At 36.9% G+C, this 27,201-nt stretch overlaps 1 long non-coding RNA gene across 1 annotated transcript in view, besides 1 other annotated feature; it reads left to right on the top strand.

Annotated features, from left to right (window-relative positions):
- The window catches only part of LINC02653 (long intergenic non-protein coding RNA 2653), a 138,285-nt gene that overhangs the window by 30,990 nt on the left and 80,094 nt on the right, over positions 1–27,201 (top strand). The gene's annotated exons all lie outside the window — the stretch shown is intronic.
- Positions 24,396–25,595: an enhancer, noted in NCBI's record as "BRD4-independent group 4 enhancer chr10:92243978-92245177 (GRCh37/hg19 assembly coordinates)". NCBI's record gives its function as "activates an origin of replication core promoter dependent on BRD2, P300/CBP, MED14 and CDK7 cofactors, and independent of BRD4, by STARR-seq in HCT116 cells {active_cell/tissue: HCT116}" and the evidence as "EXISTENCE:reporter gene assay evidence [ECO:0000049][PMID:35650434]".

The raw sequence follows: 27,201 nt of genomic DNA, 5'->3' as shown, positions 1-27,201 counted from the left end.
GTGCTGTCCTCATGGTAATGAGAGAGTTCTCATCGATGAGTTCACGCAAGATCTGGTTGTTTAAAATTATCTGGGATCTCCCCCTTCTCTCTTGCTCTTTTATGAAGTGTGACATACTTGCTCCCTTTTCACCTTCCATCATGATTGTAAGCTTCCTGAGACCTTATCAGAAGCTGAGCAGACATGGGTGCCATGTTTGCACATTCTGTGGAACCATAAGCTGCATAAACCTCTTTTTGATAATAAATTACACAGTCTCAGGTTTTCCTTTATAGCAATGCAAACAGGATGAAGACAGAAAATTGGTATTGAGAGTGGGGTTTTGCCATGAAGATGCCTGATAATGTGGAAGCAGCTTTGGAACTGGGCAACAGGCAGAAGTAGGAAGAGTTTGGAGGGCTCAGAAGACAGGAAGATGGGGGGAAGTTTGGAACTTCTTAGAGACTTGTCAAGTAATTATCACCAAAACGCTGATATAAATATGAACAGTGAAGGCCAGGCTGATGAAGCCTCAGATGGAAATGAGGAAGTTATTGAGACCTGGAGTGAAGATCACCCACGTTACACCCCAGGAAAGAACTTAGCTGCATTGTGTCCATGTCTTAGGGATTTGTGGAAGCTTTAGCTTATGAATTATAACCTAGAGTATCTGGCAGAAGAAATTTCTTAGCAGCAAAATGTTCAAGGTGTGGCATAGCTGCTTGTAACTGTCCACACTCAGATATGAGAGCAAAGGAATGACTTAAAATTGAATCTTATATTTAAAAGGGAAGCAGAGAATAAAAGTTTGGAAATTTTGCAGCTTGGCCATGTGGTAGAGAAGGCAAGAGCATTCTAAGGAGAGGAATTGAAGTGGGTAGGAAGCAACCGCTTGCTAGAAAGATTTATATGACTAAAAGGGAGCCAAGTGCTAATAGCCAAGACAATGGGAAAAAGGTCTTGAAGGCATTTCAGAGATCTTTGAGGCAGCCCTTTCCATCACAGGCCCAGAGGTCTAGGAGCAAAGAATGGTGTCAGGGACCAGGCTCTGGACCCTGTTGCTCTGTGCAGGCTTGCACACTGCTCCCTGCATCCCTTGCTGCTTGAGCTCCAGCCATGACTCAAAGGGACCCAGATACAGTTCAGGCTGCTACTCTGGAGGGCACAAGCCCTACGCTGTGGTGGTTTTCATGTGGTGTTAATTCTTCAGGCCTTCAGAATGCAAGAGTTAAAGGAGGCTTGGCAGTTTCCACCTAGAATTCAGAGTATGTATGGGAAAGGCTGGGTGCCCAGGAAGAAGCCTGCTGTAGGTTTGGTGCCACTGCAAAGACATTCTACTGCAGAAGTGCCAAGGAGAAATATGGGGTTGGAGCCCCCACAAAGAGTCTCCACTGGGGCACTGCCCAGTGGAGCTGTGGGAAGAGTGCCATCACCTTCCAGACCCCAGAATAGTAGAGCCATTTATTCCAGTAAACCCAGTAAAATATCATAAGTCAGAAATGCATTAAATATGCTTCCCTACTGAACATGCTTTGTAAAATTTCAGTCCTTAGCAATTTATTCAGATCTGTTTTATGACACAGCATATAGTGTACCTTGATGACTATCTATGGGCATTAAAGTATGTGCATTTTGCAGTATATATTTTTCCCTAAATGTCAATTGGATCAAAGCAGTTGATGTTGTTGTTTAGCTATTTTATAGTCTACTGATGAATTTTATCTAGTTATTCTTTTAATTATTTTGAGAGGGCTATTAAAATTTCTACCTAATTTGTGGGTCTGCTGTTTACTCCCTTTAGTTCTGTTAGACTTTCACTTCATGTATTTTGAAACTGTTATTAGATAATACACATTTATGATTGTTTCATCTTCCTAATAGAGACTTTTAGAATTGTAAAATGTCCTTTGTTATTTCTGGTAAATTTCCTCATCATAAAAAATTTATATTACATGAATATTTAAAAAGATAATTTGATGCTAATATAACATATACAGTAATATTTATTAACACATTGATTCACCTTTCTTATGCTTAGTCCTTTCATGGAATGCCTTTCACTATCCTTCTACTGACTATCTTGCTGTGTTTTTATGTTTAATGTGCATTTCTTGCAAATAGCATATATTTAGATCTTGCTTTCTTAAATTCAGTCTGACATTCTGTTTTTTACATAAGGTATTTCATTTATTTACATTTAATTGACGTGATTGGGTTTATGTTTAACCTTTTATTATTTTTTTCTCCATTATCCTTCCTGTTTTTTTTTCTCTTTTGGTTGTTCCTGTTCCTCTTTTTCTACTTCCTTTTCTTTTAATCAAATATTTGTTAAAATTTTATTTTAAATCCTCTTGTATTAATTTGCTATCTCTACTGTAACAAAGTACTACACTATACATAGTTTAAACAAAAGAAATGTCTTTGTCTCAGTGTGCAGGGGTGTCCAAGGGAGAGAATACAGTTGTGGGTTCTTAGTTTCTGTCTCTGGTTGGGCTAGTAAAACCCCTTCCTCATGCCTCTTTTCCACTAATCACCAGAGACAGAAACGAAAAACCATGGCTTTAGGCTGCTAAAAGCCTAAAACAAAACAAAACAAAACAAAACAAAACAACAACAACAAAATAAGGCAGGTTGGACAAGCTTGTAAGAGTAGAAGCCTAAAATCAAGGTGTTGGCATAGTTGGTTCCTTCTGAGGACCATGAGAGAGGAATTTGTTCCAGCCTCTCTTCCTTGGCTTATAGAAGGCCATCTCCTTATTCACCTGGCTTTCTCCCTGTGTGTGTGTGTCTGTCTCCAAATTTTACCATTTAAAAGGACACAAATCCTATTAAATTAGGAGCTACCCAAATTACCTCATTTTAACTTGATTACCTCTGTAAAAACCATATCTCCAAATAAACTCACATTTTGAAGTACTGGGGATTAGAACTTAGATATATATAACTTTTAGAGGGACAAAATTTAAACCCTGATACTTCTATTAACTTTTAAGTTATACCTCTTTGGATTTACATTTATTGGTTGCCATAGGTGTTATAATATGTATCTTTTACTCATCACAGTTGATGTAGGTTAATATTGTACCATTTTTTTTTGTAAAATGCACAAGCCTCCAGACAGCATAGATCCATTTAACCTCCTACCCCATCCTTTGTGCTATTAATATTATGTATATTACATGTACATACATTGTAGACCTAACAATAAAAGTTACAATGTTTTCTTTAAATACGCAAGGGCTTTTAAAGAAATTCAGTGAAAAAATGGATAATATATGTATTCATTTATTTGTATTTCTGATGCTCTTTATTCCTTCTTGTAGATCTGAAGGAATCTATATATTATGATTTATTTTAGCTGAATAACTTCCTGTAGCATTTAATTTAGTATAATCTGCTATAAATCAGTTCTCTCACTTTTTGTTGTCTTTATTTTTCCTTTATTTTAAAATAATAATTTCTATGCTGATAGTATTTTTTCTTTCCACTGCTTTTTGGATTCCATTATTTCTTATGGGACATTAGCCAGTGTTCATATATATATGGTCAAATTTCAATGGAGTTACATCCCAATAAACCCAATAAAATATCACATCAGAAATGCATTTAATATACCTCCCTACCTAACATTATAGATTAGCCTAGCCTACCTTAAATGTGCTCAGAACAGTTATATTAGTCTATAGTTGGGCAAAATCATCTAACACACAGCCTGTTTTATAATAAAATGTTGACTATTTCATGCAATTTATTGAATACTGTATTAAAAGTGAAAAACAGGATGGTTGCATGGATATTCAAAGTAAAGTTTTTATTGAATGTGTATTGCTTTCACATACCATTGTAAAGTTGGAAAATTATAAGTCTAACCATTGTAAGTCATAGACTGTCTGTATGTATTTTGCCTCTATGTAATGCGTTCTCTGGCTTCCCTGAAATTTCCTTTTTATCCTTTGTTTTCACCAGTTTGACTTGGATGTACATAAATGTGGTTTTCTTTTAATTTATTTCCATTTTGTTCCACTGAACTTCAAGGATCTAAAGGTTTACATTTTTTTTCTGTATGTGGGGAATCCTTGGCCATGATTTATCCAAATATTTTTATCACCAATTTTGTTTAGCTCATCCAGTTAAATTTTTATTTCAGATATTGTATTTTTTAGTCCTAAACTTTTGATTTGGTTATTTGCTAGGTTTTAAATTTTTTGTTGATTTTCCATGTCTCTTCATTTTTTATCACAATAATTTCTTTTACATGTTGGAATATATTTATAATAAGTGCTTTTAAGTTATTGTCTGCTAACTCCAACATCTGAATCATTTAAGGGTTGTTTTCTCTTGCTTGATATTGCTCTTGACTATGAGTAAAATTTTCCTATTTGTTCACATAGATAGTAATCTTTGATTGTATAATGGATATTTAGAGTGATACATTGTAGAGACTCTGAGTTTTATCATCTTCTGAGGAGTATTAATTTTGGATCCATTGGGCTATTTGGTTAACCTCAAACTCCAAACTCCACATCCTGTGGAGGCTAGGATATGCTTAGTTTCTCTGGCCTTGCACCTACTGCTTTCTGCCAGTCTCCTTGGAATTTTCCACACATGTGCTGTTCAGGGACTAGCCAAGAAATTTTGGTGATGTGGCAGTGGTGATCGTAGTGTGATGTGTGTGTGTGTGTGTGTGTTTGTGTGTGTGTATGTTTTATATATATAAATGAATTACTGGATGTGGCTTCCTCCCTTATGGTCTCATCCCTCACTTTTCAGAAAAACTTTCAGCCCTGAAATTTATCCCCTGACTCTTAAAGGTAGTGAGACTTTAGCTTTAAAATTGAGTTCTAGATATCCCATTGGTTTGTGAGTGTCCATATGCACAAAGTCACATACACACAAATTTCACCTACTGTAGTCTCCTTATTTCAAAAGGAAATTTCATTTTTTGCTTGCATTTGACCACTGTCTTGTATCTTTAAATAGTTGGTTTTTTTGTTTTAATATTTTGTCCTGATTTATAATTCTAGTCTTCGGTAAACTGAATCCAATATAAGCTACTCTATCATTAGTGGAAGCAGAACTCTGCATATATATTTGTGACATTAAAATAGTATAAATTTTTAAAGCACAGGTGTTTTTTTTCAAACTCCTAAAATAATCCACTAATGAACTATGCATAGAACAGGATATCGGCAAATTCCTGCTGAATTAAATGGGTCTGCCTGAACAGAATTATTTGGCATATCTACATAACAATTTGATTATTATTAAAATATCCCATGATAGCATGGGCAGGGGACTTCTAGAAATTCACGAAGTGTAGTAAAAGCCATCATTTTAAAGATAATTTCTTAAGTTATGTTTGCCACTATTTGTAGACCTGGTTTTGCTGAATTAGACTTAAAATGTTGGATTCTTTCTCCTGGGTCTATGACTGCAAATCAAGATGTTGCCACCAGGTGAAAATGTTTCCCTGGTTGTAGGCATGTAAGCCAGTCACCTTAAGTCTACGGTATTAAACCTGTCAATGCTAGTAACAATTTCAAATGAATGCTAGTGACATTTCAAGTTTGGTATTAAGAAAGATTCTAAGGTTTAATATAGATAAATCAGGAAAGAATGACATGAGCAAATAGCCCCACCTTCCACAGGCTCTGGAATGAACAGTGGTGTTATATCTACTATGTGTTTCTTACTTTGAACTAGGCTTTCGACTGTATTACTTTCTGAGAGACATAGCCATCTTACATTGTCCAGTTGTTTTATTCTCTCTTGGCTCCAGAAGAAAGCCACGATCAATATCTCACCTAACCAGTATATAAATATTACTTGCTTATGTGAACAAATAACTTCAGTTTTAAACTTAACGAAAATTGTATGAAAGCAAAAAAGTTCTATTTTTAATCATTTTACTTCCCAACATAGTTTTTAGGAACACATTATGGTGAAAAATGGAAACTTGCTGCTTATATTAGAGAGTTTACTTCTCTGCTGATGCCCTAATTTTACCCAAGAAGGGAATTATTGAAAATTCTTAGCACAGGCAGAGTAAATTCTCAAAAATATCTAATAGCATACACAGTCCCCCTTGGAACATTGCCAACATTTTTTATAGCACAATGTTGCCTTTAAATATGCTTTTTAATTTTCCAATTATACATACCCATAGGGAATGCCTGTAGCAGACACTTCCTTTAGAGGAAAGGTGACAAGATCTCTTTATTCTAAACTAAATTATGCGATCTCAACAAATTTGAAATTATTTGCTTGGTTTTAGGAATTCCTGTGGGAATAAGCTAGAATAGCCAATGTGGGAGTCATTCTCCAAAAAATTGATATCCTGCACATAGTTTCCTTATAAAACCTTCAGAAAAAGGAAAGTAAAAAGTGTTGACATCTAATTACCTTTGAAATATAGAGAAAAAAATACAGGAATATGATTAATTTGTCAGGAATAAATAAAAAAATTTGGAAATATAATTTACCTCTATTGCAACTCTTATCCATCCATTCATTTGTTAATTCTACAAAGATTTATAGAGCACTAAATATGTGCCAGATACCATCCTAGGTGACAAGACATGTCTGATGCCCCAAAGGCTCACAGTATAGGGGAATGCACATATAAACAAATTATTTCAATGTAGTATGTTGACTGTTATGACAGGTTTGTGACTACTGTTGTGGGAATACTTTTGAGAGGTAACACGCTCAGTTTCATGTGTCGCAAGGTTTATAAAGGAATGCGGAGGGCAGATTCTAGCTTCAAGTGAATCTTTATCCAAGACTCAAACAATATCACTAAAAGCTTGTACCTCCCCATATTAGACCCTCCTTTTTTGATATTGGTTTTATTATAAGGCAAACTCTTCAAACTCAAGATGGGTTCTAGCAGCTCCTGGGGTTGTGTATTTTCTCATTCACATCCAGATACAAAGAATATTCACTTTTTCCAATGGTTGAGAGACACGCAGGTATTGAGTCTCCTGATGACTTATTGCTTTGCCTTAGATTATGAGTCTGTCCTTGACTCAGTCACCATGGCCAAGGAAAGCTGGTAGTAGCAAAAAGGTAGATTAAATTAGAACAGGGTGTAAAGATTAAATTTCTTTTGCTAAGTGGCTTGCAATTTGGGGTATTTCTGGGATAACAGAGACTAGATAATATACTGAGAAGGTAACCAATAAATGCCCACTAAAATGTGCTCCAACCTGCTTCAGAGTGATCGTCTGCCTGTCCCTCATATCTAGAGCTAACAACTGAAATAAGTCCAGTCTACATAGCATTCATCTAAGACCCTCAGGAAACTGACACCTGTGTATCTTACACTTCCCTTCTTACTGATACCAGTCAAATTGATATCAGCCTATGGACTTTCCACCTGAAACCAACCCAATCACTAAGTGAGCAGATGCTTAACTCTGGGTTCACTCATTCATTCATTCAATATTTGTTGGTTGTCTTATTCTGTACCAGCAGTATACTAGTGCTATTTAACAATGTTTAGCAAGACACAGTCTGGCACATATTCTACTAGAGGAAAGAAGGTAAATGCAAAATCAGAATAAAATGTTGATGGTAGAGCTACAGATTGCTAAGAAGCATGTAGATAGTGCTTTCGACCTTGTTTGGAGGCATCAAGGAAGCTTCCTAGAGGAAGTGAAATCTGGATGATAAATGTCAGATGAATAGGCATTAGGCAGGGGAAGAGGTGGGCGAACACCATCATAGCTGCTTTGTACATGGTGAGTCTACACTTCTCCGTCTAAACATCTTATCAGATACTACTAATTATTCAGTATCTCTCTTTTCACCAAGTGAAATCCAATGTTATGTCAAATTAAAATGTGCTCACTTAAAAATACTTCAAGAATCACTTCAGGTTTTTTTTTTTTTCTTCAAACAAACATAACCCAAACCAAACAAAGCCAACATACAAAAAAGAAACAAAACCAGGAAGGCAGTGTTTCTAAAAGGCAGTAGAAAATAGTTTCAGGAAATAACTTCCCTAGGTGAAGAGATTTTCAAAGTTAGTTTTAAAACTAAATAAATATACTCAATTTGAGATGGTGTATTGCTGTGTCACCCAGGCTGGAGTGTAGTGGCGCTTACTGCAACCTGCACCTCCCGGGTTCAAACGATTCTCCTGCCTCAGCCTCCCGAGTAGCTGTGATTACTGGTGCCCACCACCATGCCTGGCTAAGTTTTGTATTTCTAGTAGATACAGGGTTTCACCATGTTGGCTAGGCTGGTCTCGAACTCCTGGCCTCAAGTGATCCTCCTGCCTCAGCCTCCCAAAGCCCTGGATTACAGGGGTGAGCCACCATGCCTGGCCAAAAATAGACTTAAAAGTTTTTGTTAAAAAATTAGATTGGCAAAAATTGATGTTACTACAATACTTTTTCTCCATTTATTCATCTTTTTACTTCTTTGATTTTAATGTTTGTTAAAATTCAGATTCCCCTTGAGAAATTTTATTTTATCCTGACAATTGAAATCCATTAAAAATGCTCATTTAATGCCCTCAAATATTCAAATAAAAAGAATTTGCACTTCAGTGCTTTGAGTCATAAAAGTAAATGATTTCTAAAGTCCATTAAAGCCTTAACCTTATGCTTAGTAGGCAGGTCTCCTTTTTACTAATGAGGTTTTAGCAAAGGCATAAAAGATTAAGTGATTATCTTAGCCAGGGAGAGGCTGAGGTAATGAAGGTAGGCACTGTTGCTGTTCTTTTCATCCTAAGCTGGCATTTACCTTAATTCAGTATTTCTTTGCTTGACAAATAGTACTCCTCAGAGTTTATTAAAATATTTCAGAGGGGTTCATTCAGTTGGAGGTCTTTGTTTCTTATAATTATTGCAATAGAAACTGGTTCCAAGTTACTTAATTATTTAAAAAATCATGTATATAATTATAATAGCACTTTGTGTTATAGAAGCAAGTGCCATTTATGGCCCTGATTGTATTCAAAGGAATATGACTTCTGGTATATGAAGTCATATTTATTTTATCTATTTTCCTGGACACCATGATTCAATTGAGTGTCAAGTTTGGAAATTATTCTACATAATAGTGGGAGAAAAATTTGAAACTATCACCAATCTTGGATGAGAGAGGAGAGGGAAAAATGAGCCCTCAGTAGATGGCAGATCACACATTCTGCAATACGACTATAAGGGCAGTCTACTAAGATTATGGATGCTTGAGTGATCAATTTCCTGAGGAAATCCGTGTTTTAGTATCTTCATGGATACAAGATGCCTCCTGCATTTTTCTATCCTTTAAAGATGAACACGGATGCTCACTAAACACTGAAAACCATAATCTTTAAGAACTAGAAGAAGGTTTATTTGCTGTATCATCCACACACACTCGATCTTCGTCTTCCTTTAATCGACTGTTGGTGGAAAGCACAGTTGTAGAGAAATGAGGTTTGCCTGCAACATTATCCAGGGTCCATCCTCCAGATTGCTGGGTTTCTAGAGGCAGGTGTGGTAGTGACAATAGTGACAGTGGTGATAGCAGCATTCCAATTCTACTGGGTATCAGATATGGATATCAGATATGTTGGTGGGTCTTTTCATTTAAAATATCAAGTGGTGGCATGATGGCTTTCTGGTGGGTCAATTGTCATTCTGAATGTACTTTGTGAAGGCCCTGACTAGATCCTGCTGAGGAGTCCTGGCCAAAAATCTATGTTTGATATTTCAGGCCCAACCACAGGCAATGACAAAGGCTTTATCTGGCAAACCCCTCCGAGGAAAGTTGCCCTCCCCAGACTTGGGGCATACCCAGTGCATTGCAATCTTTAAAGAGAATTGCATTCTGGAACTCAGATTCCCCTAATGGCCCATGCTCTTAAACATATTTGCATTCCTAGCCTAGGTGTCTTCATTCAGAAGTTTCTTTATCTGAGGGCTTCCTGCTGGAGTTTTCTTCAGGTGCTTCTACTGAAGCTTTCTTAAGAGTAGAGTGGGAGGAGACCTTAAGAAACCGTTCCCTCCTCCGACTCCATACTCTTCTACTCCTAGCTCTCCTTGTCTCACTCCAACCTCCTGCTCCAGGGTTCATAATACTACTGGAGATTTTTGTTTGGGGCTTCCTCAATCGTGAGCTGACCCCCATGTCTGTCCTGATTCACTGACCCTCCACTAGTGCACCTTTCTGGGGAATTTAGAAGACCTGGGTGAGTTGGCAGTTTCTTTGGTTTTGGCCTCTTGCTTATACTATTGCAGTAAGTGATTACAGTCTTGACTGTTACTTCGATCTTCGGCTGCTGCTTTAATCAACTTCTCCAACAACGGGCAGCTCAGTTCTCTATCCAGCTCAGCTGAGTTTCCGACACTGTTACTCCAGGTCATCCAATGGTTTTGTTTAAAACAGCTTATGTAAAATCTCTTCCAGTTTAAAATCCTTAAAGTGGTTTCTTTTTCCTGTGTTGAACAATTGCCTCTGCGGAATTTGTTACCTTTAATTTGAGCTGTTTGGTCTTAGTGGTCAAGCAGGTATTGCAGACTGGAAAGGTCATCCTTTTCATGCCATGACAACGATCTTATCTTTGACAAACCTGACAAAAACAAGCAATGGGGAAAAGATTCCCTATTTAATAAGTGGTGTTGGGAAAACTGGCTAGCCATATGCAGAAAACTGAAACTGGACCCCTTCCTTATACCTTATACAAAAATCAAATCAAGATGGATCAAAGACTAAAAGCTAAGACCTGGGACCATAAAAATCCTAGAAGAAAATCTGGGCAATACCATTCAGGACATAGGCATGGGCAAAGACTTCATGGCTAAAACACCAAAAGCAATGGCAACAAAAGCCAAAATTGACAAATAGGATCTAATTAAACTAAATAGCTTCTGCACAGCAAAAGAAACTATCAGCAGAGTGAACAGGCAACCTACAGAATGGGAGAAAATGTTTGCAATCTATCCATCTGACAAAGGGCTAATATCCAGAATCTAAAAAGAACTTAAACAAATTTACAAGAAAAAAACAAACAACCCCATCAAATACTGGGCAAAGGATATGAACAGACACTTTTCAAAAGAAGACATTTATGCAGCCAACAGACATATGAAAAAAAGCTCATCATCACTGGTCATTAGAGAAATGCAAATCAAAATCACAATGAGATACCATCTCACTCCAGTTAGAATGGTGATCGTTAAAAAGTCAGGAAACAACATGCTGGAGAGGATGTGGAGAAATTGGAGTGCTTTTACACTGTTGGTGGGAGTGTAAATTAGTTCAACCATTGCGGAAGAGAGTATGGAGATTCCTCAAGGATCTAGATCCAGAAATACCATTTGACCCAGCAATCCCATTACTAGGTATATACCCGAAGGATTATAAATCATTCTGCTAATAAAGACACATGCACATGTATGTTTATTGCAGCACTATTCACAATAGCAAAGACTTGGAACCAATCCAAATGTCCATCAATAATAGACTGGATAAAGAAAATGTGGCACATATACACCATGGAATACTATGCAGCCATAAAAAAAGATGAGTTCATGTCCTTTGCAGGGACATGGATGAAGCTGGAAACCATCATTCTCAGCAAACTATCACAAAAACAGAAAACCAAACACCACATGTTCTCACTCATAAGTGCGAGTTGAACAATGAGAACACATGGACACAGGGAGGGGAACATCACACACTGGGACCTGTTGGGGGCTGGTGGTCTAATGGAGGAATAGCATTAGAAGTAATACCTAATGTAGGTGACGGGTTGATGGGTGCAGCAAACCACCATGGCACATGTATACCTATGTAACAAACCTGCATGTTCTGCACATGTACCTGAGAACTTAAAGTATAATACAAAAATACTTTAACTGCTCACTGGGTAAGAGAAACATCATGTAGTATTCCTATTCATTGATAAACGAATAGTATAGAGCAGTATTTCCCATGCTGTGAGACCTATACCACTAGGAGCATTTGAGTTGATTTTAGGTGGAATGCAAAGTAATTTTCCTTTCATTAGTTATGTTTTAATTTTAAAGTGTTTTCAGAAATGTAACTATTAAAAAAAGAATGAATTTGGAGAAAAGTATTAAGTGAATCATAACAGAGAAGAAATATGGGTATGGCAAAATCTTGAGGGTGGTCCAATACAATCGTTGATGTACAATAGACAATAACTGTTAATATTTAGACACTATAGAGCTTACCTCAGGTTGAGGTCTATGTTCTTCCTATCTTCTGCTGCCCCTTTTACAAAATGACATGTTGATAGGAGAGCAAGGTGACAGGAAGGTGTGTCAGTGAGAGAGAGAAGCAAATACATAATTGGCACCAAAGAGTATGCAGCAGAGGTCCCAGGGCAATGACAGGCTCAGGCTCACGAGTTGGGTCTTGTATCAGAAAGTGAAAATAATATCATATTCTCTATTTTCTTGATAATTAATCAAAATAAATTTGTCATTTGATTCCTTCTTGTCCTGTGGCAACTATTGTGCTATTTACATAAAAAAAAATGAGTCCTAGATTTAAAAAATAAATAAATAAACATAATGCAGACAGAAAAAGGACGTTAGCTAAACATTAAGGAAATATGAATAAAATGCTGACTTTAGCTAATAAAATATATGACTATTGATTCACTAATAGTTAAAAAAGGACAATGTATAATGAAAAAGCTGACTCCATATGTTGATGTTTGATGGATGACGACTTTTAAGCGTTACTTATCTATCTTCCCCTTCTGCCCCCAATCTGGGCAAGCTAATAATAAAGCTTGGGTGTTCCCCTCTTTAGTACTAGTGGGAGATTCAAATCACATAAGCTCCTGTCCCCAGAAAGGAATGCTCACCTTGGCCCAACACTTCAACCATAATAAAAATTCTAAGAATGGGTGGGTGATGTCACCAACACGGTGAAATAGGAAACTTCTGACTCTCCCTACAATCGCAGATGTTCCAGATAAACTATTTACAGAAAAACTCCCCCGAGACAAAACCAAAGGCCAGTCAAGAGACTTCTACCCAACAGGCAATTGAGAAAACGTCCACATTAAGTGGGTGGGAAAAGCTGACGCACACTTGGGCATGGACCCCACCCAGGGCATTGCACCACGATACTGAGAAAGAAATCTCAACACCCAGGTTCTCTGTGTAGAGAGGAAGATCTGGACCTCACGTAAAGGACCCAAACCCTAAATTTCCCCAAGATGTGGTGGTTGATTCACAAACTTTAGAAATGCAAGGGATTAGATATGCCCATGCCCCTCTAGACTGTAGGAAAAAAAGTGGAAGTTTATACATGTGCATAAGCACTACTAAGGACTTTATCCCCTTGGGAGCACTAAAGGAGCTTTAAAAAACCCACAGCTCTCTGTTTCCCCTGCCCAAGTCCTCCTGAGAGGGGTTTACAAAACACCTTTCCAGTAGCTGTCCGGCAGCCTGGATTCTAACTAACTTGCATCCATGGAGGAGTTAAAGAGACAGTCAATTATTAACCCTCCTCTAGTTTGGGAAGAGTTTGCACTCACATCAAGTGTCTCAAATCCTGCAACATTCACCTAAGGAATAGTATTTGAAATCTCCTAGCTTTGGGTACCAAAGGGACCAGTGTACACATGTCATTGTCCACCAGAGGGAAAAAGAGGGATTTAAAAATAGGCAGGCAAACTCCTCTAGAGGCTTCATTCTTCTGGAGCTGTGCAGAGGAGGGGTCAAAAAATGCCACTACCTGTTTTTCCCCAGAAGGAGTTTAGGACACACATCGATAGTCCTAGTTTTTAATGCTACCCCCTGAAAGGCTCCATTCTAAACCTAGTAGTTGCGGGAACAAAAGACTAGGCATATGAGTCTTCCTTCATTCTGGAACAAAGACATAGTTTTAAGTGGGCATCCAAACACTTCCAAGGGCTACACTCCCTTGGAGCAGTGCAGAAAAGGGTCAACAACATTAAACTCTCACTTAATCTCCAGAAGAGGCTTACAACACACATTCCCAGTGGCTATTTGATGGCCTGGTCTCTAATGAACCTTCCTCAAGAAGCTAACGGGGCAAACAAACAATAAACCTTTGGTACCCAGAGCCAGAGCTCAGCATTCCATGAGACCTCCCCCTTGTTTGCCCCAGAGATAAATCCAGGCCTATTTCTGGGATGAGTTTGACTGTGCACTGAGTGCCACAACTTTCGTGTCTCCCACCTAGGGAACTGTGTAATTAACCACCTCTGAAAATTGAGGGGGCGTTGTGATTCTGAGTGACCCAAGACTAGAGAAAACAAATAGATGTATATATAATGGACTTACACCTAGTGGCTATTCCTCCAAGATTAGAAGGTGCAGCTTGAACATAAGTATAGGCATTTTCCACAGATCTTCTGTCTTAGTGCAGAGAGAAAGGAGATAAGTTCTTGCACCCAGTCTCCCCATAATGATAGGAAGAATGGGAATACATATCTAACATCTCAATCTTTCCAGCTACATCTTAAATAGACTATCTCCTATCATACCATTTTTGGGGTACTGACAAGATGTAGCATATCCTAAGCTCCAGGGGGCTATAAAAACAGAGATAGTAGTCTAAACAACAACAACAAATAGAGAGGCACTTTGAAATCTCTGGCCAAATGAATGGGTGAAAATTTTCTCTTATACAAGTCCAGTCTTGGAGAGATGTAGGTGTATTATTTAAGGCACAGAAACCAACACAGAGAATCAAGGAATATGAAGAAAAAAGGGAATATGTTCCAAAGAAAAGAGCAAGATAAATCTCTAGAAATCAACTCAAATAAAGGAGAGTATGCAGTTTACCTGACAGGGAATTCAAAATAATGGTATCAAAAGATATTCACAGAGGTCAAGACAACTAGGCAAGACGTTGATGACTTCAAATAAGACATAGAAAGCATAAAGTACATACCAAATGAAAATCATATATTTGAAGAATGCTATAACTGAACTAAAAAATTAATAGAAGGGTTTAACATCAGACTTTATGAAGCAGAAGAAAGTAGCACTGAAAATGAACCAACATGAGGAACAAAAGAAATTAAAAAGAGTGAAGATAGCTTAAGAGACCTACGGAATATCATCAAGTGGAACAGCTTATACATTATTGGCATGGAAGAAAAAGAAGAAAGAGTAAAGAACAGAAAACGTATTCAAAGAAATAATTGCAGAACACTTCTCACATCTGGGAAAGGAATTCTGGGAAAGGAATTAGAAAGCCAGATCCATTAAGCCCGTAAGATATCAAGAAGATGAATCCAAAGAGACTAACACCACAACAGATCATAGTCAAATTTTCAAAAGTTAAAAACAGAGAGTGTTGAAAGCAGCAAGGGAAAAGTGAATTGTTACATATAGAGGAACTTTCATAAGCTATCAACCAATTTACCACGAGAAACCTTGCAAATCGAAGGGAGTGGGATGATAAATTCAAAATTCTGAAATAAAAAAGATTGTCAACCAAGAATACTATACCCAGAAATCCTGCCTTTTAAAAATTAAGTGTTAAGAAAAATTATCAAATAAAAGCTGAGAGTATCCATTACCACTAGACCTGGATTACAAAAAATGCTAAAGTTCTTCAAGCCTGAAGGAAGAGGATGAAAATTGGTGACATAAAAATCATATAAAATACAAAATGCATGGTAAAAGTAAGAAAGTACATTATCAAATTCAAAGCATTCTGATACTGTAATGGTGGTGGGAAAATCAATTATTAGTATATATCTAGTATAAAGATCAATAGGCAATAAAGTGACAATAATTTGCTAATATTATGAAAAGATGTAAAGTGTGACATCTAAAACATAAAACATGGGAGGAGATGGAGTAAAAGAGGAGTTTATATATGCAATCAAAATTAAGCTCTAATCAGTTTAAATTAACTTGTTATAAGATTTTTTATGTAAGCCTCAGGATGAACACAAAGGAAAAACTAATAGTAGATACACAAAAAAATGAAAAGGACCAAAGCCTACCTGTACAGAAAACCATTAAATCACAGAGAATGCAAAAGAGGAAGAAGTGAACAAAAGATTACAGAACACAACTAGGAATCAATTAACAAAATTGCAGAAGTCTATACCTATTAATAATAACCTTGAGTATAAATAAATTAAGTTCTCCAAATAAAGGATATAAAGTGGTAGAATAGATTAAAAAACAAGACCTAATTATATGTTGCCTGTAGGAGACTCACTTCACCTATAAGGACACACATAGACAAATTGTGAAGGGAAGGGAAAAGATATTTCATGCAAATGAAAACCAAGAGCTAGGAGGAATAGCTATATTTATATCAGATAAAATAGACTTCAAGTCAAAGGCTTTAGAAAGTGATAAAGAAGTCATTATGTAATGATAAAATTGTCCATTCAGCAAGAGCATATAATAATTGTAAACATATATGCAACCAATACTGGAACAAGTATATAAAGCATGTATTATTAGATATAAAGGGAGAGATAGACTGTAATCCAATTATATTAGGGGACTTCATTCCACTTTCAAAAATGGAAAAATACTTTAGACATAAAATCAACAAAGAAACATCAGAGTTAGACTATACTCTAAGCCAAATGGGCCTCTGATATTTGCAAAACATTTAATCCAACAGCAATAGAATACATATTCTTCCAATTGGTGTTTAGTGGTATAACCTTTCCTCTAACGCTGCTTTAGCTGTGTCCCAGAGATTCTAATATCTTCTATCTCTGTTTTCATTAGTTTCAAAGAATGTCTTGATTCCTGTCTTAATTTTATTGTTTACCCAAAAGTCATTCAGGAGCAGATTATTTAATTTACATGTAATTGCATGGTTTTGAGGGATCTTCTTGGTATTCAATTATATTTTTATTGTGTTGCATTCTGAAAGTGGGGTTGGCATAGTTCTAGAATTTTTAAAAATTTTATTGAGAATTGCTTTATGACTGAGCATGTGCTTGATTTTACAGTATGTGCCATGTGCAAATGAAAAGAATGTATACTATGTTGTCTAGGGGAGTGTTCTGTAGATGGCTATTAGGTCCATTTAGTCAGGTCTCAAGTTTAGGTCCCAAAAATATTTTTTAGTTTTCTGCCTCGACAGTCTGTCTAATACTGTCAGTAGGCCATTGAAGTCTCCTATTATTTTGTGGTTTTTAAAGTCTCTTCATACTTCTCTAAGAACTTGTTTTATAAATTTTGGTGCTCCAGTGTTCTGTGCATGTATATTTAGGATAGTAAAGTCTTCCTGTTGAGTTGAACCCTTTATCATTATGTAATGCCATTCTTTGTCCTTTTTGATAATCATTGGTTTAAAGTCAGTTTTGTCTTAAATTAAAATAGCAACCCCTGCCCTTTTTTCTTTTCTATTTGTTTGATAGAGCTTTCTCCATCCCTTTACTTTGAGTCTATGGTTGTTATTGCATGTGAGATGGGTCTCTTGAAGACATTGTACAGTTGAGTCTTGCTTCTTTATCCAGCTTGCCACTACCTGTCTTTTAAGTGGGATGTTTAGCCCATTTATGTTCAAGGTTAATATTTATATGTACAGATTTGATCCTGTCATTATGTTGTTAGCTAATTGTTATGTAGACTTGATTGTGTAGTTGCTTTATAGTGTCAATGATCTATGTACTTATGTGTGTTTTGTGGTGGCTGTAATGTTTTCTGTTTCCACGTTTAGCACTGCTTTAGGACCTCTTGTAAGGGATATTTTGATGTAACAAATTTCCTTAGCATTTGCTTGTCTGAAAAAAAAATGTTATTTATCCTTTTACTTATGAAGCTTAGTTTGGCTGGATATAAAATTCTTGGTTATAATTTCTTTTTTTAAAGATCCTGAATACAGGCCCTCATTCTCTTCTAGTTTGTAGGGTTTCTGCTGAAAGGTCCACTGTTAGCCCAATGAAGTTCTCTTTGTAGATGACCTGCCACTTTCCTCTAGCTGCCTTTAATATTATTTCTTTCTACTCTCTACTTCTATGGGACTTGGACCCTGGAGAATCTGATTACTGTCTTGGGGATGGTCATCTTGTATAATACCTTGCAGAGGTTCTCTGAATTTCCTAAATCTGAATTTTGATCTTTCTAGTGACATTGAGAAAATGTTCGTGAACATCATCCTCAAATATGTTTTTCAAGTTGCTTGCTCTCTCTCCGTCTCTTTCAGGGACACACATGTGTGGCAGGTTTGGTCTCTTTACATAATCCCATATTTCTTAAAGGTTTTCTTCATTCTTTTCTATTCTTTTTTCTTCATTTTTGTCTGAGCTGATTTGAATAACTGGTCTTTGAGCTCTGAAATTCTTTCCTCAGCATTGTCTATTCTGCTGTTAATATTTTCAGTTACATTATAAATTCTTGTAGTGAGTTTTTCAGCTCCATCAGATCAGTTTTTTTTAATGGTTATTTGATCTTTCAGCTCTTGAATAATTTTCTTGGGTTCCCTAGATTCCTTAAATCGGGTTTCAACTTTCTCCTGAATCTTGATGAACTTCATTGAGATTTTGAGTTCTTGTCTGTCTTTTTAGCCATTTTTGTTTGGCTAGAAACCACTGCTGGGGAGCTATTGTGGTCATAAGGGGTAAGGAGACACTCTGCGTTTTTGAATTGCCAAAGTTCTTGTGCTTTTTCTTTCTTATCTAGGAAGATTGATGTGCCCTTAACGGCGGTGTAATTTGAGTAGAGTCAATTGGTTTTATTTATGGATGTTTTCAGAGCACTAAGGCTTTGTGCAGGATCTTTATTTGTGGCTACTGCGGAACTACTCACAATAGCCCAGATATGGAAACAATCTAACTGTCCATCGACAGGTAAATGAATTTTAAAAATCTAGTACATATACATAATGAAATATTATTTAGCTATAAAAAGAATGAAATTCTGTCATTTGCAATAGCATGAATGAGCCTGGAGGACATTATGTTAATTGAAATAGGCCAGCACAGACGATAAGTATCACATGTTGTCACTCATATATTAGAGCTAAAGAAGTAGATCCCATAGAAGTAGAGAGTAGAATAGTGGTCACCAGAGGCTGGGAAGGGTAGGGGGAAAGGATGGGAAGAAGTTGGTTAATGGGTACAAAATTATAGTTAGATAAGTTATAATGTTCTGTAGCATAGGAGGGTGACTATAGTTAACCAAAATTTATTTTATATTTTAATATAGCTAGAAGAGAGGATTTTGAATGTTCTCAGCACAAAGACATGATAAATATTTGAGGTGATGATTATGTCAATTGCTCTTATTTGATTATTACACATCATAGACATGAATTGAAATGTCAGATGTATTTCATATACATATACAATTATTATGTATCAGTTAAAAAAATCTCAAGCCTGTCTCCTTTTCTGGCTATTTAAGCCATTTGGAACCATTTTGGGAAGGCTCCCTTGCTCTTTTCAAAAACATCCCATTATAGAAAAGATTTTCATAACCTCTTGGGGTGTGTGTGTGTGTGTGTGTGTGTGTGTGTGTGTGTGCGTGTGTGACATCATTGGTCTTGACATCCAAATCAAATTTTGGGCAGGGATTCATCCTGTTTCTTTAGGATGGCGATTAACACCATCCTAATGTAAGATGTTAACATTAGGGAAAACTGGGTGGGGGGTATTCAAGAATTTTCTTTCTTTGCAATTTTTCTGTAAATCTAAAACTGCTCTAAAAGTTTATTTTTAAAAAGTCATTGCATGATAGTTCAAGATGACACAGGTATAAAATAACTCTGTCTTTGGGGTCCATGCTGACTTCTAGGTGAATCTATTTCTTCAAGAAACCATGTAGTTTTGCCAGAAAACTCTTTGCCTAGGTATAAGAAAGATTAATTTTAAGCCAAATTTCACTGTAGAGTAAATTGGGTTTCCTGGTGATTTACTTTCATTAGACAATTTTCTTTTAGCAAAGCAGATAATAGATTTGTATTTTTTCCTGAATCAGTCCTGGAGATGGCAATTTCAGAGAAATGGCTACCCCTTGCATAGCCTTTGCACTTTGATCTGAAATAGTAATAACCTTATGATTATTGCTCCAAAATGTCTAAAACATAACTCATAAAACACACTTGATCTGTGCTGGTTTTATAAAGGGCATGTGTAGTTCAGAGCAGAGGTCTAATCATTAGACTGAATAAATTGCTTTCATGGCACATTGCTTATATTTCTGATAGTACCTATGTATTTGCAGCTTGTATAATAAGGTAATCTTACATACTAATACCTGGAGAAGTACTAAGTCCCTTCTAGGCATTATCCCCTTTACTCCTCACAGTACCTCAGAGGGAGGTACACTGGTTTTTAAATGAGAAAACTAAAGCCTAGTAGAGGCTAAGTAACTTGCTTAAGGTCTCCCAGATCATAAGCCACAAAGCTGGATTCAATTTCAGATCTGTATGACTGTAGACCCTGAGCTTTTCCCAGTAGAGAATAGCACTTGTTATTTACACACCAATGTCCCTCAACTAGGCTTGAATTCCTTATGAGTGAGGACTGTGTTTTATTCATTTTTTGATCCCCAGATGTAATTTAGACCCATACCTGAAAAAATGTACACTGTATTTATTCTTGCTTTTCCTGTAATACATAAGCTTGGTTACCTCAATCACATGTAAGAATAATCCTCCTGATTGTTTTTAGCTTATCAAGTAATCATAATTATTATGGGGAATTAATACTGACAGAAGCCTTTGCTTACAGAATTAAATGGAAGAAAAAACTCATTCCTGATGGTATATGCTGCTGAAATTCAGTTGTGTTGTTGCCCTAAATTATAGCTTAGCAATCACTTTTTCCTCTGCTGGGAAAGCCATTCTTGACATGCTTCCAAAAACTCAGGTAGAGGAGAGCATACAAGAGCTTTTGTGGGAAAGCATATGAAATTATTATTCTTTGTCTCTGGATTCTGGATTATGATCTTGCTACTAAAATCTAAGCCCTTTAAAATTGCTATTAGATACCTGATAGCTCTCCATTATGAAGCAGTGTAGTATGTAATAACAATTTTATAACTTAAAATATTTCTGTATCAAGAGCCATCAGGTTAACATAACAAGAACTATATGTCAGATTCTGTGGAATTGTTTGTATTCTATCCTGATAAAATGAATCTGGCATGAAGTACTATTCTTTCTTTATCTGAATAAGTGCTTTATCATCACAGGTATGAAGTGGATTAGATCCTGCTCTCTTAACATAATCAAAAGAAAGCACTTCCTTTGTTACAGCTAGTAATGTTCTAAGTGATGTGCTGCTTCAGATTTGTGGAGGCCTTTCAACCAAATCCAGGGCATGCTGTTTTGTCTATGGGTTCTCTCTCTCTGGTCTTGCATAGGGTGGAAAGTCATTGCAACTCTTTCATCAAATTGAATTAAATTGCTTAAGTCTTTGTAACCTATATGAACTCAGATATCCTTGTGCAATTATAGTGTTCAATATTCAGGACTCACAATAAGGAAAGTACCTGGTTTGAACAGGTGCTAGGTCATGAGGGAGCAGTGCAGGCGTGAAGCTGAAACCCCCCATTTCTAGTCTTTGTTCTGCTGCTAGCTCACTCTGTGACCCTGGTCAAGGTCTTTTACTTCTTGGAGAACTGAATTCCTCTTATGTAAAGTGGGGAAGGCGGTGCAGGTGATCTCTGAATATAATATTTTATAGCTCTGGAATTGCATTGTAGGAGTGAAGTTCCTCTCATATGGTCTGCGAGAACTTTATACTCTGATTTCATTAATAATAAGTCTGAATTTCTGTAGTTCTGAGTTCTGGAGGTAACACAATTGTCTGAAAATAATTTATGTACTTAGATTTCGATTTGGGGAAATATATTAGGAAAAATGTTTAATTTGGTCTTATTTACAATTTTCATGGAAGTATATAAATAACAAAGGGAAATCAGTAGCGAAAAGGTATGTGACTCTATTAGGTTCAACTCCTTCCCCCAAAAAATTTTTGGCTCAATGAAGAGTCTACCTATTTACTTAGTTGACTTTCTGCCACTGAAATACATTTTAAGGCTGTTGCTCAACTATTGTTTCCACAAGTGCCTGTTTTGGAGGTATATCTTGGGTTCTTTATTCCCTGACTTGAAGAAATAGACTTACCTGGTGAAAGGGACTCATAGAAAGCACCAGACTGTGACATGGGTGTGGGAGTACCGTATAGATAAGGGTAAGGGGAGTTGGAGAAATGAGTGATTAGAAAGCATTTTGGAGGTGCTGATGGGATTTGGAAGTGAGTTTTTATTCAAGATAGGGGAATAGTAAATCAAGTTTTTATCTTTGGCCATGTCCTTGGGTAGGCAATAGTCTGGACAGGTACAGCTAACTCTCAGCCTGTGGAATTCCAGAGCATTCTGGCATTTCTGCCCAACTGAACGCAAGTAGTGCTACTGTCAACGATAAAGAGATAAAAGAGTTCTCCTCCTTCTTCCAAGACTTAGAACATGCTTTAATGCTCTGGAAAGCTGGGAAACTGAACACAGGTGTAAATGTTAAAATTATAATTGCTGACAGTTATTAAGAATTTTCTGAGCTCTTGGAACTGTGCTAAATTCCGTTTGTGTATTATCTCATTTCATTCATGTATTCATTCATATTTATTCAATATTTATTCAACAGCTACATGCCAGGCACAGTTTTGACACTTAGAACATAGGAATGAACAACATATAAGAAATCCCTTTTTTTCATGGACTTTATACCCAAGTCAAGTACCCATTAATATAAGGGTGAAGAGGGACATATAATAAATATATTTCTAAGTTATATAATACATAAAGTGATGGAAATTACTTGAAGAAATTAGAATTTGAAAGTTAGGAAATATTGCATATGTTAATATATACAAATAATTTTCAATGTGGTGGCTAGGGAAGTCCTGATTGAGAAGTCGACATCGGAATCAAAGGCTGAAGGAGGTAAGGAAGCAAGCCATGCAAACATCTCGGGGAAGAGACTTCCAGGCAAAGGGAAAAGCAACTGCGAAGATCCAAAGGAAGAACTGTGCTGTATGATTGAGAAGTAGTGGGGAGACTAGTGTGGCTGCAGCAGCAAGAGTATTAGGATAGTATGGTAGGAAATAAGTTCATAGAAGAAGGGGTCAGATAATGATGGGGGTTGGGAGGAGATTATGAACAGATTTTGAAGGTATTTCTATTTGAAGAGGGTTTTGAACAGAGAAGTGTCATGATCTGGCTTAAGTCTTCACAGTAATGCAATGAATGCAGTGCTGATAATAGATTTTTGGGATACATAGGTGGAAGCTCAGAGATCAGTTAGGAAATTATTGCAATAATCCAGGTTAGCGTGTCAGGGTGGTTACAATGAGGTTGTAAAAAGCGGCCAGATTCGTATCTTTAAAGGTAGAAACTACAGGATTTGCTGACATTTTGGATATTTGATATGAGAAACAGCAACGAGTTAAGGTTGATTTCAAGGTGTCTGGCACAAGAAACCATAAGGCTTTTATCTTGAGGACAGGTAAAATGGAATTGTAGTATACTGAGATGAGAAAGTCAGTAGATGGAGCAGTTTAGGAAAGGCGAAAAATCAGGAGTTTGATTTTGTATATTTCAAATTTGAAATGTTTATAATGTATCCAATTAGATATTTCCAGTAGGCAATTGTATATGCAAATTATTTAATCCTCTCAACAACCATAGAAGGTATGTTTTATAATTATTCTGATCACAGAGGGGGCATGTAATTAATATCCTGATTACAGATGTTCAAGGGCACATAAATAGTAAGCAGTTGAGTAGCCATTTGAATCCAGGTACCCTGAGTCCAGAGCCATGTTACTCACCCTGTAGATTTGCTGTCTTTCTCAGCCGTCTAATCAAACTCCCAACAAGGTTTTCTGTAGAAATTGACAAGATGATTCATAAACTTATATGGAAATGCAAAGGTCTTAGATTAGCAAAAACAATTTTGAAAAATAATACAGTTAGATGAATCTTACCACCTAACATTAAGACAATATAAAGCCATAGTAGACAATATGATATTTGTGTAAGGAGAAACAGCAACAACATTTTTTGAAAGCCTGTAAGTAGAGACACATATGCAATCAATTGATTTTTAATAAGTTTCAAGGTAATTCAATAGCAAAAGCTTTGTATTTTTAATAAATAGTGCTGAAACAACTGGACATCCATATGCAGAACCCCTCACAATCTCTATTTTATGCCATATAAAAATTAATTTGAAATATATTACAAACCTAAACATAGGAGCAGAAACAACAAAAATTCTAGAAGAAAACAGGAGACTATCTTTGTGAACTTTGGGTAGCCATAATTTTTGACAGAACATAAATAGTACTAAATATTAGAAATATAATTTAGGCTTTTCTACTAAAATTAAAATCACCTGCTCATCAAAAGGAACTGTTAAGAAAATAAAAAGAGAGGAAAAAATGGCCAATAAGAGGCAGGATTAACTTGCAGCTCCCACTTGGACAGACAGAGCAGCGTGTGGAGACTCACACTGTGAACTTTTGCTCCAAGAATCACTGCAGGAACATACCAGGAAAGCTGAGAGGGTCCACAGACCCTTTGAAGGAAGCGGATTGCTGCTGCAGGCCGCTGGAGACAGCCAAAACACTGTGAGTGACCAAAGGGTGAAAGGGTGAAAGTGTGAAAGGGCAGTCGTCTGCCCCGGAACACACACCCTCACTGGGGAACCTAAAAGTCTAGATCACAGGAGTAGGACATGACCTTACCTGGAGTTGAGAGAAACTTAAAGAGCCAAGCAAAATACAGGGGTAGAAGAAGCAGCGGGAAGAGCCCTGTGGGCACTCTTGGTCCCCAGGGAAGCTATTTCCGACTTTGTCTTACAGGGGTCCTTTGGGAGGACTGACAGAGGAACTGGGAAAAAAACACAGGGAGAAGAAAACTTCTAGCCGAACTTTGTAACAATTTTGACAGAATGTGAAATTTCCTGGACGGAGTCTGGGGGAGGGGGTGAATAGCCAGTGCAGGCACAGCACAGAAGTTGCCGCAGGCACAGGGTGGCACGAATCTTGAAAGCCCTGCTTTCTCAGCCAGGACGCTGGTAGCCTGGGCCAAGTTCTCAGTCCTGCATGCCTGCTGCCTGGAGATGACCTCAGTGCTGTTGGGTGGGGCAGTAGGAATGAGACTAGCCTTTTGGGCTGCATGGGAGTGGGGTGAGGCCTGTAACTGCTGGCTTTTCCCCACTTCCCTGGAGACCTGCATGACAGCAGATGCAGTCATAATCCCCCTGGGAACATAACTCCATTGGTCTGAGAACCATACCCCATCCCCCACAGCAGCCTCAGCAAGCCCCAACCAAAGAGAGTCTGAGTTCAGACATGCCTAACCCTGTCCCCATCATAGGCACATAGACCAATGAAACAGAATAGAGAATCCGGAAATAAAGCCAAATACAGCCAACTGATCTTTGACAAAACAAACAAAACATAAACAAAAACATAAAGTGGGGAAAGGACACCCTATTTAACAAACGGTGCTGGGATAATTGGCAAGCCACATATAGAAGAACGAAGCTGGATCTTCATCTCTCACCTTATATAAAAATCAACTGAAGATGGATCAAAGACTTAAATCTAAGACCTAAAACCATAAAAATTCTAGAAGATAACATTGGAAAAACCCTTCTAGACAATGGCTTAAGCAAATACTTCATGACCAAGAACCTAAAAGCAAATGCAATGAAAACAAAGGTAAATAGATGGGACTTAACTAAACTAAAAGGCTTTTGCACAACACAAGAAACAATCAGCAGAGTAAACAGACATCCCACAGAGTGGGAGAAAATCTCCACAATATATACATCTGACACAGGACCAAAATCCAGAATCTACAAACAAATCAGCAAGGAAAAAACAAACAATCCCCTGTAAAAGTGGGCTAAGGACATGAATAGACAATTCTCAAAAGAAGATATACAAGTGGCCAACAAATATATTAGAAAATGCTCAACATCACTAATGATCAGAAAAATGCACATCAAAACTATAATGTGATGCCACCTGACTCTTGCAAGAATGGCCATAATAAAATAAATAAATAAATAAATAAATAATTAAAAAACAATAGATGTTGACGTGGATTTGGTGAAAAGGGAACACTTTTACACTGCTGGTGGGAATGTAAACTACTATAACCGCTACAGAAAACAGTGTGGAGATTCCTTAAAGAACTAAAAGTGGAACTACCATTTGATCCAGTAATCCCACTACTGGATATCTACCCGAAGGAAAAGAGGTCATTCTATGACATAAGACGCTTAAGACACTGCATGTGCATGTTTATAGCAGCACAATTCACAGTTGCAAAAACATAGAACCAGCCTAAATGCCCATAACAGCAAGTGGATAAAGAAAATGTGATTAATATATATAAATATACACCATGGAATACCACTCAGCCATAAAAAAGGAATGAAATAATGGCATTTGCAGCAACCTGGATGGAGTTGGAGACTATTATTCTAAGTGAAGTAACTCAGGAATGGAAAACCGAACATTGTATATTCTCACTCATAAGTGGGAGCTAAGATATGAGGATGCAAAGGCATAAGCATGATACAGTGAACTTTGGGGACTTGGGAAAAGGGTAGAAGAAGGGTGAGGGATAAAAGACTACACACTGGGTACAGTGTACACTACTTGGATGATGGGTGCACCAAAATTTCAGAAATCACCACTAAAGAACTTATGTAACCAAACACCACTTGTACCCCAAAAACCTGTTGAAATAAAATAAGTAAATAAATAAAAGAAAGGAAACAATACTACATGCACATGCTTAAAATTAGATAGCATAGAAAAATTTTTTTTAAAAGAAAAAGATAAGCCCAAAATTTGGAGAAAATATTTGCAATACATTCACCTGACAAAATAATTCTATCCCCAAACAACGTGATGCCCAAACTGTAACCTAAGGAGACATAAAATAATTTAACATCAAACATGTATTACAATGCATAAATGAAGTAGTCAGATGTGTATAATTAAAGATAGAGCCATTTTGGATATGACAGGTGTCATTCAGAATGATACCAGGAAGAGAGTTGCTGTCCTTGTCATGATTTTCTGAAACAGAATTACTGCAAGGCTCTGAACAAAACCATTTAAAGAACTCTCTTCCTTTTATTTTCGTGGTAGTTGAATTCCAAAAAATTTCAATATATATTAAAACGATATAAAATATACTTTGTTTTTATGCATATAATGCAATATGTTTCTTGGCTTGGGTTATTATTAAGCTTTTCACAACC

This window comes from Homo sapiens, chromosome 10, assembly GCF_000001405.40.
Source record: "Homo sapiens chromosome 10, GRCh38.p14 Primary Assembly".
Classification (NCBI taxonomy): Eukaryota; Metazoa; Chordata; class Mammalia; order Primates; family Hominidae; genus Homo; species Homo sapiens.
This window is presented reverse-complemented; position numbering and strand designations above follow the sequence as displayed.